The 17,439-nt window shown below is 38.0% G+C and overlaps 1 long non-coding RNA gene across 1 annotated transcript; it reads left to right on the top strand.

Annotated features, from left to right (window-relative positions):
- Window positions 1–983: 983 nt before the first annotated feature.
- Window positions 984–16,059, top strand: LOC105370260 (uncharacterized). Its single transcript, XR_942091.3, has 3 exons — window positions 984–1,062; window positions 4,280–4,409; window positions 15,781–16,059. It is a non-coding gene; the product is annotated as an uncharacterized LOC105370260 (long non-coding RNA).
- The last annotated feature ends 1,380 nt before the right edge of the window (window positions 16,060–17,439 follow it).

The raw sequence follows: 17,439 nt of genomic DNA, 5'->3' as shown, positions 1-17,439 counted from the left end.
GAACTTGAGGACAGTTGATATTTGGATCCAGGTGATAAACTTCTTGAATTTTTATTAGAAACCTAATAATAAAAGGCCAGTTAACAATTTTGTAATACAGCTCTTTGGGATTTTTTGGCTTTCTGCCATTCAACAGCCACAATATTTAAATTCTGGCTCAGACATGCACTTAAGTATTCATTAGGAACAAATCGATAAAACATTTACTGCCAGGTTGTATTAAATAGTAGAAAATTGCTACAAATGAGTACATTCTACAACATTCTTCTCTTCAGTATTCTAGAAATGTACCACCAAGATCAGAACTCTAATTGATATTTTGTGTTAGAGAAATAAGTTAATATTAGTGTTAATTTGTAGGTAAAATTACTATCTTCCATTTAGAAATAGTTTACTTCAGGCTTTATAATGATTTCTAATATTTTTTCCCCAGTAACAAAATAGACCAAAAATGGAGATGCTCTGTTAATTATCTCATTTTACAATAAATTTACTTTTAATTATTTCATAGTTCCCATTTAAAAGGTAAGGCTTTAATTTATTATAGTTTTAAAATTAATGTATGTGTATATATTTAAGTGTATGTGTATACAAACAACCTTTCATCTCCACAAACCTTAAAGTCTTTTATAGGCTGGGCATGGTGACTCACACCTATAATCCTAGCACTTTGGGAGGCAGAGGCGAAAAGCTCTCTTGCGCCCAGGATTTTGAAACCAGCCTGGGTGACATAGCGAGACCCCATCTCTACAAAAAATGTAAAAACTAGCAAATCGTGGTAGTGCATGCCTGTAGTCCCAGCTACTCAGGAGGCTGAAGCAGGAGGCTCACTTGAGCCTGGGAGGTTGAGACTGCAGTGGGCCAAGATCGCAACACTGCACTTCAGCCTAGGTGACAAGGTGAGACAGTGTCTTACAAAAATTAAATATAAGTATTTTATAAACCTTACATTAAGGACTGTTTCTTATTTCAGACGTTAAACTCGGATAATCCCTCTTCCAAGTTAATATAATGAGTGGTCGGTTGTGGAAGGACAGTGCGTTCCCTGAAGTGACTTTCTCGGTAAACAGCCTTCCTTCCTCTGACTCGTCACCCTTACCCCCCTCACCCCTGCAAGTGAGCCCAAATAGTTCATTCCCAAATCCAAAGCTTTACTCGGCCATCCAATTCAGGTCAATCACATCTCATGAAGATGCCCTTGGGTGTCTGTACCACTGAGGTGACAAAGGAGGGTCTATGTGCCATGAAGAGGGAGCAGTTTAATGGGTCAGAATCTCTCTCTGATACCTACAACACCACTGTTTACAATTTGTCCCTAATGGTGACCACAATACTCAAGAGTAATCTATCTATCAACTGCAATTTTTTCTAAGGAGTTTAGAGAAAAGATATCATGACACTCACTGGGTAGTTATTAGCACCGCTAAACTGAGAGTCATCAAAGTATGACAGTTAAGAATAAAGTGCTTAACATTGGAGTGACTGACTTCTAATCCTGCTTCTGGATTTTATTAAACTATGTGACCTCGAATAAAATTGATAAATATCTTGGACCTCAGGTTTCTCATCTTTACACTAAGCATAATAATCACTACTTCCCAGGGTTGTCATAAGGATTAAATCAGAGAATGCATGAAAAACTGAGCATGTAATGAGAAGAGTGCTATTTAGTTAGCTCTCAATAAAGGTACCAATGTGGGGCTGATGAATATGGTCCTAGGAAATAATTAGAGAAGGAATTTCTGAATTTAGGATGATTCTAGATTTGGTAGAAATGGTCAAGTGGCTTTGAAAGAACAGAGAATCTTAACTAAAATGTTGGTTAACTCTTGCAAGAATCTGCAATGTATCTCTAGTGATTACTTTTTAAAATCTTTATTTAAAGCCTGTAACAAGCACAAATGCCTTGCATATTCGTTTGTTGTATTCTGGAAATCAAGGAAAAATGTACTGAATTCCACATCCTGGGTTGGGTGTGGGAGTGGGGTGCATGTTTGTTTTCTGTCACCCCATAACAAATTATGGCATATTTAGCGGCTTAAAACAGCATCGTCTTATTAGCTCACCATTCCAGTTAAGATTAACTTGAATGATAAACACTCATTTATTAGTTCACAGTTTGTATGTCAGAAGTCCAGGCAAGTTTGATGGAGTTCTCTGTTTAGCATCTCCCAAGGTCAGAATCAAGTTGTCAGCTGGGAAGCTTTCTAATCTGAAGGCTCTGGAGAAGAATCTGCTTCCAAGCTCTCTCAGATTGCTGACAGAATTCAGATTCTTGCAATTGTAGGACAAAGGCCTTCTCTGCTTGCGGGCTCTCAGCCAGGGGTTACTCTCGCAATTAGAGGCCACTTTCCAGTCCTTGCACATGGTCTGCTCCATCTCCAAAGCCAGCAATGGCTCATTGAAACCTTCTCAGGCTTTAAATCTCTTTCCTGCTATCTTTTGGATAAAACACTGCCTTAAAGGGCTCATATAATTAGGCCAGAACCACCCAGGTAATATCCCTTGTCATTATCTCAAAGTCAACTAACTTAATTACATCTGCAACATCCCTTTTACCATGTAATGTAAGAGAACCACAGGAGTAACATCAGAGACAAAGGTTAAGGTGCCATTTAAAAATTGGAACCAACCCAAATGCCCATCAATGATAGACTGGATAAAGAAAATGTGACACATATACACCATGGAGTACTATGCAGCCATAAAAAAAGGATGAGTTTATGTCCTTTGCGGGGACATAGATGAAGCTGGAAACAAATTCTCAGCAAACTAACACAGAAACAGAAAACCAAACACTGCATGTTCTAACTCGTAAGTGGGAGTTGAACAATGAGAACACATGGACACAGGGAGGGGAACATCACACACTGGGGCCTGTCGTGGGGTGGGGGGCTAGGGAAGAAATAGCATTTGGAGAAATACCTAAATGTAGATGACAGGTTGGTGGGTGCAGCAAATCACCGATGGCATGTGTATACCTATGTAACAAACCTAAATGTATCCCAGAACTCAAAGTATATTTAAAAAAAAAAAACAACAATTCTGCCTACCACAGAGAAATGGGAACAGTTCTATGAGCTGAGACCTAAGAGAGATCAGGAGTTTTACCCAAGTACAGAATAGAAGTGATCATGAAGACACAAACCCCAAGGGGACCCAGCAGAGGGGCTTGGCTGACATCTGCCTTACAGAACCTTGCTACAGATTATTTCAGGGCACCAGGAACCCTGACACAAAATAGATTTCACTGCCAAACCCATCAGTCATAAGAGGGAAATCCAGAACTCCTTAATGGCATGCAGCTCTTAGTGAAGGTTTCACATGCCCAGTGGCAAATCGTGTTTTCATCAGGATGGAATGTCATGGACATAAATATGCTGTAAATAAAATTGGAGACATATGTTGCTGGAAACACAAAATAGAGAAACTCACTGTGAATTGAGGAAAATAAACCTTAAGATGATGCTTTCAAGATATTGTAAAAATGTTGCAGCTCTTGAGTGATTTTTATAACAGCGTAAGAGGATGACTATCTAAAGCTGTCACAAACAGCTCCTTGAAAATAACTGAATTCAGAACATGACTAATAAAATCTCAGGGATGTATATCAAAGGGGAGACCAAGGAGACTCTCACCTTTCATCCTGCATCCTGGAGGGCCACTTGTTCCTAGTTAGGGTTAGGGTATGGAGATTCACAGGGGAAATAAATAAGTTAATTTTGTTAATAAAGCATAATTTATATTGAGTAAAGTACACAGATAATGTGTCTGATTCAGCTAATTATCACAAAATGAACACAGTGTAACTCAGTTACTTATCACAAAGTGAACGTGAATGTAACTCAGTTAATTATCAAAAATGAACACATACGTATTGTTCCAAATCAATAAAGAGAATGTCACCTGTGTTTCAGAAGCCTCCCCAAGCCTCTGTCCATTCACAGTGCCCAATCCCCTCCCTTGATAACTCTTTCTCTGGCTTTTAATATCCTAGATGAGTTTTGCCTGGTTTTCGATGCTATTTAAACACAGTTATGTACTACATATTCATTTGTGCCTGGCTCTTTTGCTCAGCATTATGTTGTCAAGTATAGATGTAGCTCATTCTCACTGCTACATAATATTCAATTGGATGAAGTCACCACAATGTATTTATCCATTCTACTGTGGTACATTTGGGTTGTTTCTAGTTTGGCTACTAAGAGTAGTGCCAGTATAAATATCCACACACAAATCTGCACCTTCTCACACCCAATTCTGTTTGTTGTATGCCTAGGAGAGGAATCGCTACATCATAGTGAATTCATGCATTCGACATTAGTAGATGATATCAAACCCTTTTCCAAAGTGGCTGCACCAATACATCCCCACCTTCAAAAGCACTGTATAGATCTACCCAATATACGGTATTGTCCATCTTCCTAATTTTAGCAATTCTTCTGTATGTAGTGGTATTTCATTGTGGTTTTCTTTTGCATTTCTCTGATCACAAATAAGGTTGTGTACTTTTAGTATGTTTACTAGCTATTTGGATATTCTTTTTTTTTTTTTTTTTTCTGAGATGGAGTTTCACTCTTGTTGCCCAGGCTGGAGTACAATGGCACCGTCTTGGCTCCCTGCAACCTCTGCCTCCTGGGTTCAAGTGATTCTCCTGCCTCAGCCTCCTGAGTAGCTGGGATTACAGGCATGCACCACCACACCCGGCTAATTTTGTATTTTTAGTAGAGACAGGGTTTCTCCATGTTGGTCAGGCTAGTCTCGAACTCCTGACCTCAAGTGATCTGCCTGCCTCTGCCTCCCAGAGTGCTGGGATTACAGGCATGAGCCACTGCACCCAGCCTATTTGAATATTTTTATGTGGAGAGTGCTTATTCACTCTCCCTCATGTTTCTGTTGGGGTTTCTGTCTTCTTGTTTTTTATTTGTGGGATTTCTATATTTTGGATTTGAGACCTTTGTTGATTATAGATGATGTACAAAAGATCATCTCCCACTTTTTGGCTTCCTTATTCATGCTGTTTGTGGTGTCTTTCTTTCTTTTTTTTTATTTTTATTTTTATTTTATTTTTTTGAGTCTCCGTCTGTCGCCCAGGCTGGAGTACAGGGGCTCAATCTCAGCTCACTGCAAGCTCCACCTCCCGGGCTCATGCCATTCTCCTCCCTCAGCCTCCTGAGTAGCTGGGACTATAGGCGCCCTCCATCATGCCCAGCTAGTTTTTTTTTTTTTTTTTTTTTAGTAGAGATGGGGTTTCATCGTGTTAGCCAGGATGGTCTCGATCTCCTGACCTCGTGATCTGCCTGCCTCAGCCTCCCAAAGTGCTGGGATTACAGGCATGAGCCACCGTGCCCGGCCTGTTTGTGATGTCTTTCTACAAATAAGAATTTTTAATTGTAAAGTCCAGTTTATTATTATTTTTTCTTCTTTCTGGTTAGTGTTATTTGTGTGTGACACATTTCCTGGGAGGTTCTACTTCCACTTAGGGACTAGAAAGCCACAAGATAACATTGCTCCCATCCTAACAAAAAGAAAAGGCTGAATCATTTACAAAGTCATCCTTTTTTGGAAACCATCAGAAATCTGAGATTGCATGACAACCTAGTGAATTTAATGCCAAAGTGACAGGCCTCCTTGAGGAAAATCAGGAAACTCAAATTGTTTCAGATTTGGTAAGGCACAGGAGAAAGCGGCAGAAACAAGTAAGAAGAAATCATTTCACATTTTCACATATGCCTAAGGGCTGCATGTGAGCTCATATATCACTTTAGAGCAGGGATACCCATGGTACAGCCCATGGCCTGTTAGGAAGCAGGCAGCACAGCCGGAGGTGAGCAGTGAGAGCATTACCTTCTGGGCCCCACCTCCTGTCAGATCAGCAGCAGCATTAGATTCTCACAGGATCCACAGGATCCCCAGCCCTACTGCGAGTGTGAGCTGCACATGCAAGGAATCTAGGTTGCGTGCTCCTTAGGAGAATCTAACTAATGCCTCATGACCTGAGGTGGAACAGTTTCATCCTGAAACCAAACCCTGCTGCCCATGGAAAAATTGTCTTCCACAAAACTGGTCCCTGGTGTCAAAAAGCTTTGGGGACTGCTGAATCTGGGAGCCCAGACAGAAGGGGTGTGCACACTCATGCTTAGGCTCATTTTCGTGGGTCTGCACTCAGGACTTACAGGACAGATTGGAGGCAAGCAGTAGAGTGAGAAAGTGGCTCTCACTGGAGCAGGCATTCAAGGAGGGATCCACTGCTGCTGGGGCCTAATACAAAACTTCACCCACTTCCCTGGATCATTCACTCAAAGGAAGCAAATGCCATAAGGGCAGGCACAGCAATCCTCCTTGCACCCTAGGCTACCAAGTAAAGGGTAGAAGTGAAATCAGCCTGCCTCTGGTAGCGGGATCCACAGTGATCTGCCACTGTAGGAGAGACAAAGAGGAGAGCAAGATGCTGCCCACACTAGAGGCACATAAATTGCTAAAAACTAGGGGTATGGAAAGAAGAGTGAGACAAGCCCTCTGGCATCTATACTTGATTAGTTGGCTGTAAGTATTTGGCTTTACCTCTGGGTCCTCTATCCTGCTCCATCACTATGTGCCTATTTTTATACCAGTACCATGCTGTTTTGGTGACTATGATCTTATAGTATAGTTTGAAGTTGGGCAATGTGATTTGTCCAGATTTGTTCCTTTTGCTTAGTCTTGCTTTGGCTATGTAGGCTCTTTTTTGTTCCATATTAATTTTAGGATTATTTTTTCTCTTTCTGTGAAGAATGATGGTGGTACTTTGATGGGAATTGGATTGAATTTGTAGACTGGTTTTGGCAGTATGGTCATATTCACGATGTTGATTCTACCCATCCATGAGCATGGGAGGTGTTTCCATTTGTTTGTATCATCTATGAATCTTTCAGCAGTGTTTTGTAGTTTTCTTTGTAGAGGTCTTTCACCTCCTTGGTTAGATATATTCCTAAGTTTGTTTGCTTTTTTTTTGTAGTTTTTTTTTTTTTGGCAGCTATTGTAAAGGGGATTGAGTTCTTGATTTGATTCTCAGCTTGGTCACTGTTGGTGTATAGCAGTGCTACTGATTTGTGTACATTGATTTTGCATCCCGGAACTTTACTGAATTCATTTATTTGCAAGCTGCATATGTAACAATGGACTAATATCTAGAACAAATGAAAACACTCAACAATTAAAACAAACAATCCAATTAGAAAATAGGTAAAATATATGAAAATACATTTTGTCAAAGAGGATTAGAAACAGGCACTTGTCCTGGAAAAATGAAAACTTGTTTTTACACAAAACCCTGTGCACTATTTTCTTTGATAGCCTTCTATATAGTAGCCCCAAACTAGAAAATATCTAGATGTCCTCAATAGGTGAATGGTTAAATAAACTGTGGTATATCCATACCATGGAGTACTATTTAGCAATAAAAAGAAAGGATCTATTGATTTATGCAACAACGTGGATGAATCTCCAGGGAATTATGCTAAGTGTAAAAAGCCAATTTCCAAAGATTACATGCTTTGTAATTCTGTGCATACAACATTCTTAAAATGACAAAATTATAGAGATGGAGAACAATTTAATGACTGACAAGGATTAAGGAATAGTTGGGGGCAGAAGGGAAGCAGATGTGGCTATAAAAGGACAACATGCTGGGTACTTGTGGTGATGGAAATGTTCTATATCCTCACTATATTAATGTCAGTATTCTGGTTTTGACATTATAAGTTATTACAATTGGAGGAAACTAGGTAAATAATGCACAAGTCTCACTTTATTTTTTCTTACATGAATCCACCAATCTCTCTGTATTATTTCTTTCAAGTGCATGGAAAGCACAATTATCTCAAAGTTTAATTAAGAAGAAGTAAGAAGAGAACATGACATGACTTAGCAAAAGCATTAGAAAAACCCAGAGATTTCAAGTGATATTTTGCACTATATAGTGAAATGGTATTGTGTTACCAGAAACACCAAACAAATAAAACTCATGTAATTTTAGGCTTTATTCAGTGCCTAGAATATATAAACTGGTGGTTTCTATTTTTAGCTGGCCATTTTTAAGTGGTATGTTGCTAAATTCTGGGTACTGCCCTTTAAGAGGAATTTAAAGGAAATTCAAAACCAAGATATAGGATGAGGAAGACACTGGAAACCATGCCATGCATAAAATATTTGGAGAAATGACAGTTTACCCACAAGACGGGACTCAGTGGTCACAGCACGGTACTCTTTAATTATCTGAAGAATTATTGTATGGAAGAATTACACCTTCTCTGTAAGATCCCAAGGAATAAAAACAGGACAAATTGGCATAAGTCAGAAGAAGAGAGATTTCAATTCGACATAAATGTGCCCCTTACCTGGAGTGAGTGGGAATCCTCCAACATAAAGTAGGCCTATTACAATTGTGTAACTATGAACAGGCAAATGTGGGTTGGTATATTGCAACAAGAGTGTGGGTGTGAGGCATGATTGCAACTTCTCAACTACATTGGCTTTCCCTGGGGGAGAGTTATCACCACAGACTTTATTTAGGATATTCATTGGTGGGCTGGTCAGCCTGAAAAAGTATCCAGCGGTTCAGCTTGAGGCTGTGTCACTCAAAATCCAGAATGACAGCGTAACTTTGGTGCAGCTTGAGTAGAGATCGTTTATAAGTAGCTGCTTATGTCTCTAAGGAAAGTGGATCTGCACCAGATACCCGACTCAATAGATGTGATAGAATATGATCTCCTGGTCTCTCATTAAATTTGGAACTGACCAAGGATAAAATTGGCCTATTTCATAGGTAGGGATCTTCTTCCAAAAGTGGTGTTCACACATTACAGAAGCAAAATGGTGACATGCAAAGATTATGGGCTATGGGACATTCTAAGCTTGATCTCAGATTCTGGCCATTACACATTACTAGTTGTATGGCCTTGATCTATACCCTCTCTGGAACTCAGTATCCTTAGTCTCTCAGCTGAGATGATAAAAACATCTACCTCGAAGGGTTCATGTGATGGATTAAATAATGTATGCAAAGCACATAGCAATAGCAGAGTATATAGAATCAGAGCAAGCATGCAACAGATAGTATTACTTTTCTTTCTCTTTCCCTGGTTGATGAGGTGTTAGGTACGTTAGAAATGAGATTTGGCCATGTGATGGACTTTTGAACTAAATGAGTGGCATTTAAGGCCCGTCTATGCCTGAAATAATTTTTACTGATTAGAAAGAGAGGGAGAGAGAGATGAAAACCAGTAAGCATAAGCTTTTCCTGGGAAAATCAAAATGTTAATAGGATAGTATTCAACTACCATTGCTTAAGTGTATGAATTGGGAATGAGGGCCTATTCCCAGGCCACACACAGAACCGCTCGCCACTTGAACCCTAACTTCTAATCTTCCAGTGGCTCAAGTGGTGGGCAGTTCTGTGTGTGGCCTGGGAATAGGCCCTCATCCCCAACTCTGTGCCACACCATAATCAGGTCCTTGAAGGGCCCTCTTCTGTCCACAAGCACACAACATCACTTTAGAAGAATACCATTAGCTTTGGTGCTACCTTTTCCCCTGCTTGGTAGCATCATTCCACCTCTCCAGCCTTTTTTCTTCCTTTCTGACTTTTCCTTTGATCCAACTTTTCTCTTCTGCCAAAAGTTCTTATGGAAATAATTGAAGACAAATATTGGTGTGTATAGATTGATATTAAGTATCTAACAACAGTGTGGTATGGCATCAGACAATCAGAGTAAATGCAAACAACAGAAACACTGGGACAAAGTCCTGGAGTTCCTCTTCCATGAGTCATTAACCCTTTAGTTGCTGGATCCTAGAGCAACATTGTAGAGGGGCTGTACAAGAGTAAATAACACATAAGGGAAGAAGCTATATATCAACCAATATTAATATTAACAATCTGTATGGCCATGCTGATACATACATGCTAAATATCAGCCCTATTCTGAGGGAAAGGGTGGGTGTGTATGAAGTAAGGGTGTATAAGGCAGGGGAGAAGTGAAGGTGGGATATATTCAACAGAAGCCTCGGGTACTTATACATACATTTGCCTGTGACTTACTCATGATGAATCTTTAATCTTGTTGGGAGGCCTTTTCCAAAAATGTCTGTGGACTTCCAGACAAGAATCCTCTATTTTTACCTCCCTTCACAACCACCCACCTAATTCATGTGTACTTTTTAAGAATGCAAACTTATTCAAGTTTTAGCCTACAAAAATATAACTAGGAACCTCCCTTGCAAATCTGCTGGAGAAAAAAAAAGCATTAAACAAATTCAGTTTCAAATAAGTTAAAATGTATTTAATTTTCCTCTGCATGATATCATAGATAAAAGGCTGCGATGCAATGAATGGAGAACAAATAGAATTGTGGTGTTTCTCATTGTCCTGCTAACTATTTATGTTACTTAACTTCACTGTCTTAATTTCTTACCCTGTAAAGTGAAGGAGTGTGGCTAAGACTATAAATTAATAACTGTTTAAAAAACACAAAAAGGGGACAGGAGTAGGAAGACAAATGATATACTGAATTGCCGATAAAGTTAGAGTGAACAAAAACATTGTTGAATATAGGGTATTTCTTAGTTTTGTGATTTTTGAGAAATTTTATCACAGCTTGTATTTAGATTTATTATGCTGAATATATGTCATGGCTAAAGTCCATCATTATTCATCGGGATAGTAGGTTGAAACTACATTAACTCTTATAGCTGCTAAATGGTTTATTTTACTGATGTTTGGTATCTCATTAAAAATAATTAACATTCAAAGGTAAGGTTAAGAGAAAAGTCAATAAGTCTTAGGATAAATGAAAGTCAAAGTACAATCTATCATTTACAACCTTCAAGTAGAAATTTGCAGCTTAAATATAATCAGTGAAAGTCTTTGCTAACATTGGTTATTGCTTGGTACTAAGCTTAAGGACATTTTTCTCCTTTATTCTCTTTGAACTTTTCCCACAGGGAGTATACATTAATTTTATTATCAGAATAATAAAAAATTTATTACAAATAATTAGAAAACCTGTAAGTAGAAGATAGAATAAGACTAATCTAGTAATTTGATGTATTTGATGGATATTAGCCAGTTGGTAGCCTTGGGTCTTTTTTGGAGGATAATACATTGAATGTATATAATATAGCATATGAGTAATCAAAATGATTTGAACTTTATATATGTATATATTTTATAATGGGCTATAATATGACATGATGTAGTATAGAAGTGGGAAAATAGGCTCTTGGATAAGTTAAATCACTGAATCAAACTCACTGTCTGGATAGTGTAAGTAAGAAAGCTACATTTGGATGTCACATCTTTTTATTCCCACCTGGATATTGAGCTCTAAAGCAAACTCTTCAGTCTTATAAAGGTCATTAGGGTCACCACACAGATGGACAGGTTCTTTAGATGACCAGAGAAACACTTCTATCTCACTCCTTTTAACATAGTGGAAATTAAAAAGCAGTCCAGATGAGGTGAATACAAGAAATATGCTTCCAGGAAACAAATCAAATGAAGGTCCTTAAAAAGAACTTAGAATTCCCAAATGACTGAAAATGACAATTTATTGCACTCTTCTCTCAGGAAAGAGAGAAAACAGTGATGTATCAGTTTCAGACAATAAGATGTCACCCAAGAGGTCAAGAGCAGGCTTAGGATGTGTGCATGCTTAGGCAAGAGCAAGGGAATTTGGAAGTAGACGAGGTGTGGAATTCAAGAAGGATTTATTAGCAGCTTGTAGTAGGACTCCACCTTGGAGCTGAACTCCAATTTTGTTGTACAAAGAATATAAAAGGATAGAAATATAGCTATAGAATCTCAATTTGAAGAAACTAGATTACTAAGCAACTTTTATTGCTTGTTATCAGACTCTATACAATAAGGTAAGAACTCAGTGATGGATTCTGGCGTACAAGCAGAAAGCTACATTTAGGATGGCTCAGCTTTTCCCAAGAGTTTTTAGACACTAACCCATGTAGCAAAGAGGGGATTATATCTATGCTTCTTATAATTATAGCTACAATTACTAAGATGTATAAAATATCTACTAAGCTTTAGATACTGTACTTTATCTTTTAATGTTGATTATTTAATCCATTCAACCATTCTTCCAAAATTAATACACAAAATTTTATTAAATAGTAAAAACACGCATCTTGTTCTCATCTTGATATTCTGATATTTTATATTCATTTGATTTCTAAAGAAATAAGACTCAATGTTATAACATGTTCTCAGCCGTACAGCGTTCATTACAAATACAAGTTGTATCTCAAAGCTAAATATCGCATTAAATCCCCACTGAGATGTGCAAATCTTCATAAAACTCACCATCATTTGAGAGAAAATAGAGGCTGGTGGGGAGGCATAAACTAAACAAGGGAGATCTGTGCCATTCTGTCTAAAGCTCAGAACAATTTTCTATATTTGATGTCTTCATCATTAATTTCTTGGCCATTGCATTGTATCTTGTTTGCAATAGAGATTCCTAAGGAAAAAATGCTTTTATTTATGACATTTGAGCTCTCTCTGTTGATCTGCATTGCCATCTTCTATTTCCTTCGCACTATCACTATTGTCCCTTCCAACTGCCATGCTGAGAATTTTCTACTATCTTTTAGGTTCTTACTATCTTCACTCCACCCGAAGAATAATATACATACAGGTAGATGCACATAGGCACACGTATGCAACTTTCCTGACAACCGCAAATATCTTCTGCTTTACTATGAAGATCTTAACTCTTAGGTTAACTCCTTTCCATCCTCTTAACATTCATCCCCTATGAAAGAACGAGAGTTATACTTTCCTATTTCTGCTTTACAAAAATAAACACAAAATATGCATTCTAATTTTGGTGGTTAGATGGGTATATACCGACCTATACTGACCTACTGACCTAATAAATAATATCAAGCTTGACAATCCCCATATAAAACTGTTTAATGTTTAATAAATAATTCAATCATTTTGTGGCTGAGAATACTCTGAAAAGATCTACACATTCTTTCCTAATTTAACACACAAAATGGTATGCATAGTCCATTTTGGAATTCCTGCTCTTGAAACTGGAATGAATTCAATACCATATGGAAAAGTTCCCTTATATTCTTTTTGCATATGGCCATTCTGTAGATAAATTGATAGACCCTTTTTATAGAGCTTTCCTGCACTGGGATGATTTAAGTGGTATATACATTGCATAATAACAACCTGAGCTTCATTTGAATGCACACTGTTGAGGAAAGATTTTATTGTTTCTCCTCAGGTTCTCTGTATTATTACTAGTACTGAGAGTTAACAATGACTACAATTCCCCTCATTACAGCCAAATAGATATTTTTAAATTGATTTATCCACATATAAGTGATTCATAATCATCTCCATGATGAGCTATTTTTTACCATCCTTATATCATAAGAGATAAATATAAATCCCCATTTTATAGATTAGTAAGCAGGCCACCCTTGAAATTAGCAATTTAAATGCCAAAATGAGCTATCTCTATTCTGAGGTATTATCAATATCTCTTAAGCTTTTGAAATACTTTTAGCTGATTTGGCAACCTAACCATGAATGAGCATGAGAAGTTGATTCAATCTGTAAGTTGATGGGGAAGACCGTGAATTACACGTGTGTAGAGACTCCATCTGTTGTGCTCTTTGCAGTGTCTCTCTCCCCAGGACTTGTTGCTGACACAGCGTAGGCACTCAATAAATACATATGGAGTAGAATAATAAACCTCAATGCTGAAGTATTCACATTGTTTTAAAGTGTTTTTTATTAGCATAATGAAAAGATTGCTAACAGGAATAAATAACCAATGCCTAAAACATTTTATTCTAAAGCAAAGATTTGTTTCTTCCTCCCTGTGCTAAGGCACACATCTATAAAAGCTGGCTTAATACTTAACACTTAAACATAGAGAGTGTATCAGTCAGACACAGTTGCATCAGTTAGAGTCACTGGCAGAAAACAGAATTCACTCTACCAAGATTAAGCAGAAAGGATTTATTCTAGTGTAGTAAACAGCAAAAGGATTGTTAAAAGGACCAGAGAAACAGGTTTTAGACTGAACTTCCAGGAAGAACACTGACAAACTGAGCTGCCATGAACATTTTGCCTTGACTAGGAAGCTGTAGAATCAGAAAGCTGACAAGGAGATTGAGAAATTGGTTGTTACAGTTGACATAATCTGCATAAACAAAATCGATATTACTGACTCCACCTCTTTTCCAAACTAATCTGGTTCTGTAGTCAAGACTCACAGAAATATATCTGATTGATGGAATTTAATTCACATCAAGAATGCTAGCTGCAGGGGGCTCTGGGAAAAATAATTTTAGCATTCCAACCTCAGCATTATATCAAGGCACACAATATAAGTGGCACAGAACTTTTGTGTCCCCATGACATGGTCCTCCACTGAATTCAGTTTTTAACTCCTTCCTACAAAATTAGAATTTCAAGCAATATGACATCACACATTACACAAATCCAAGGTTATTGGATATGCGAAGTCTGACCACTTTCCTCATCACCTGCCAGTCATAGATGAAATGGTGCTGCCACATCCCCAAAACAAAATGCCACAATTTAGTTAGGAAGTCATACTTAATGCAACACTGCTCTCAGATTAGACGTTTTGCTCAATTAATAGTTACAAAACATAGAAGATAGTAGAATGCTGTAACTGAAATACACGTATAAACAGAGCAGCAGAAAAAAAAATGTGTAAGAAAGAATAATTTCAGAAGCTGTAACACAGCTGTAGCACAACAGAGACTGCAGCAGCTGGCAGAGCAGCCTGGTATCCAGACAATACTAGATCCCTGACCTTGGGTAAATCTCTTAAATTCGCTAAGCCTCAGTTTCCTCATCATGAAAATGGAGTAAATAAAGGTACATAACTCATAGAGTTTTCTGAGGGTTAATTGGGTTAGAATTGTGCCTTGAAGATTGTAAGTACACAATAAATGTTAGCTGTTTTAACTAATCAGTTAACAAATAAATCACATTTTCATCTAATATCTACTCTCAGCAGTAGGGCCTGAGAGGGATGCATGACAAAATATGACCCAATCCTGACTCCCAAGTGTATTACTCAGGGTTCTTTAAAGGGACCGAACTAACTGGATAGATGAATATATGAAGGGGAGTTTATTAGGCAAATTGACTCACACAATCACACAGTGAAGTCCCGCAACAGGGCGTCTGCAAGCTGAGGAGCCAGGAAGTCAGTACGAGTCCCAAGACCTCAAAAGTAGGGAAGCCAATATTGCAGCCTTCAGTCGGTAGCCAAAGGCCTGAAAGCCCCTGGCAAACCACTGGTGAAGGTCCAAGAGTCCAAAAGCTGAAGAACTTGGAGTCTGATGTTCGAGGGCAGGAAGCATCCAGCACAGGAAAAAGATGGAGGCCAGAAGACTCAGCCAGTCTAATCCTTCCATGTTCCTCTGCCTGCTTTTATCCTAGACACACTGGCAGCTGATTAGATGGTGCCCACCCAGATTAGGGGTGTGTTTGCCTCTCCCAGTCCACTGACTCAAATGTTAATCTCCTTTGGCAACACCCTCACAGACACACCCAGGAACAGTGCTTTGCATCCTTCAATCCAATCAAATTGACACTCAATATTAACCATCACACCAAGATACTTAGAGTAGAATTCAGAAAAATTAGCAATCCAAGGCATTAGAAAGTGTTGTATGTGACTAGTGAACATAACAGAGAAAGTTTTTGTTTTTCTTTATTTTTAGGAAAGGCCTTAAGAAGACGAGAAAGAATATTCGTAGACAGCAGCAGCTTTGACCAGCAGAAATTGCCAGTATAAGATCAAGGATAATCTAGGGGGCAGTGTGGAAAACTTGGTTGAACTCATGTGGATCTTTCCAGCCGAAGTAATATCTAAAAACAGAAACCATCACAGGACATAGCATCATCTAGGACTCACAGGAAACATGGTTTGAGATAAAATGGATGAAACATTTTGGTTTTTGTTTTGATGCTATTTTTCTATAAACAAATAACATAAGTAATCAGGCATCTATTCAGAGGCTCTTATTCAGCATTTGTGTGATAAAGAAGGAATTAGACAAACATTGAAAACCAAAAATATATCAAAGCAAGTGACTTCCAAAAGTAAATTCAAATTATACCTATATGGTATAGCATTAAAACTGCCCACAGGAGATGTGATCATAGGTTCATTGAACGATGCATAACTACGGCAACCTGAATCTGGCAAAGAAGAGTCCAATTTATGTAGAATTTCATATTTCTGTAAAAGTCTTAAAAGAATATTCATTTTGATTAGTCATTGTTGTGGAAGATATTTTAAAGAGGATATGTTTGACTTTTCTTCCCAAACCCTGTTAGAATGAATGAACTCACCTCTTTTTATATAGCCAGGTACTTCATAGAAAGGAATACTCTTTTAGGATTAGTTTAGCCAAATGGAAGTTCTTTATCTGGAGTTGCAATAAACATCAACTTCCCCAAATTCAGGAAAAACAGTATGTTCGATACACATTTATTGAGCCTCTATTCCAAGCTCATTACTTACCAGATGCTGTAGTGGGGGTACAAGGTTTAAGATGAGATTCCTGTTTGTAGAGATTATTCAATCTAATTGGGGAGTGAAATTATATATGGATGAAAAGGTGAATAATAAAAATAAGGTAAATAAGACAAAAATACAAGAGATATTGTTGGGTAATGCATGAGTACACACACGCATACACAAGCACACACACACACGGTTTTACAGGTTAAGTGTAACTATTCAAAGACATGAGATTACTAAGAGCTGATATAGACAAAATATTATTTGTGGTGGGTGAAAGGCTGACAAGAGTTGAACAGTTTTAACAGAGAGAAGGAAAGGTGTATTTCAAGTGTTGGAAAGAGAATGATCCAAATGCATTTTAAGAATACATAAGGCTAATATTTCACAAGTCTAGATATTTAGAGGGAACCAATGAAAATAAAAATGAAAACACAGTTTGGGGATGGATTGTGGAAGTCTTTGAGTGCCAGGATAAGGAATTAGTATTAATAGAGAAGGCAACAGAACACCACTGCAATGTTTTCAGCAGGAGAAGAAAAAGATAAATTAGTCTGGCAACATGCATGGGGTAATCTGGATGGAGGGAGATAAGCTGGGTGAGAATTTTACAGAAAGCCAGTATGATATGCTGAGGGTCTAAACGAGACTGACATCTGTGAGTGGAGAGAGGAGAATGCAGAAGTGGAAGACATTCTTAAAGGAAAAAAAAAGATGGTGCTTATTAGGAAATAACTGGTATTGTAAAAGTGATGAAAATATTTTTCATTTCTGATGAAATAGAGAAAGATAGAGCAAGACGGAGAAGGAGAACAGGAGACAAAGACAGAAATTTGGCCTCTCTTCAGATTGA

Source organism: Homo sapiens, chromosome 13 (assembly GCF_000001405.40).
Source record: "Homo sapiens chromosome 13, GRCh38.p14 Primary Assembly".
NCBI classification, from domain to species: Eukaryota; Metazoa; Chordata; class Mammalia; order Primates; family Hominidae; genus Homo; species Homo sapiens.
This window is presented reverse-complemented; position numbering and strand designations above follow the sequence as displayed.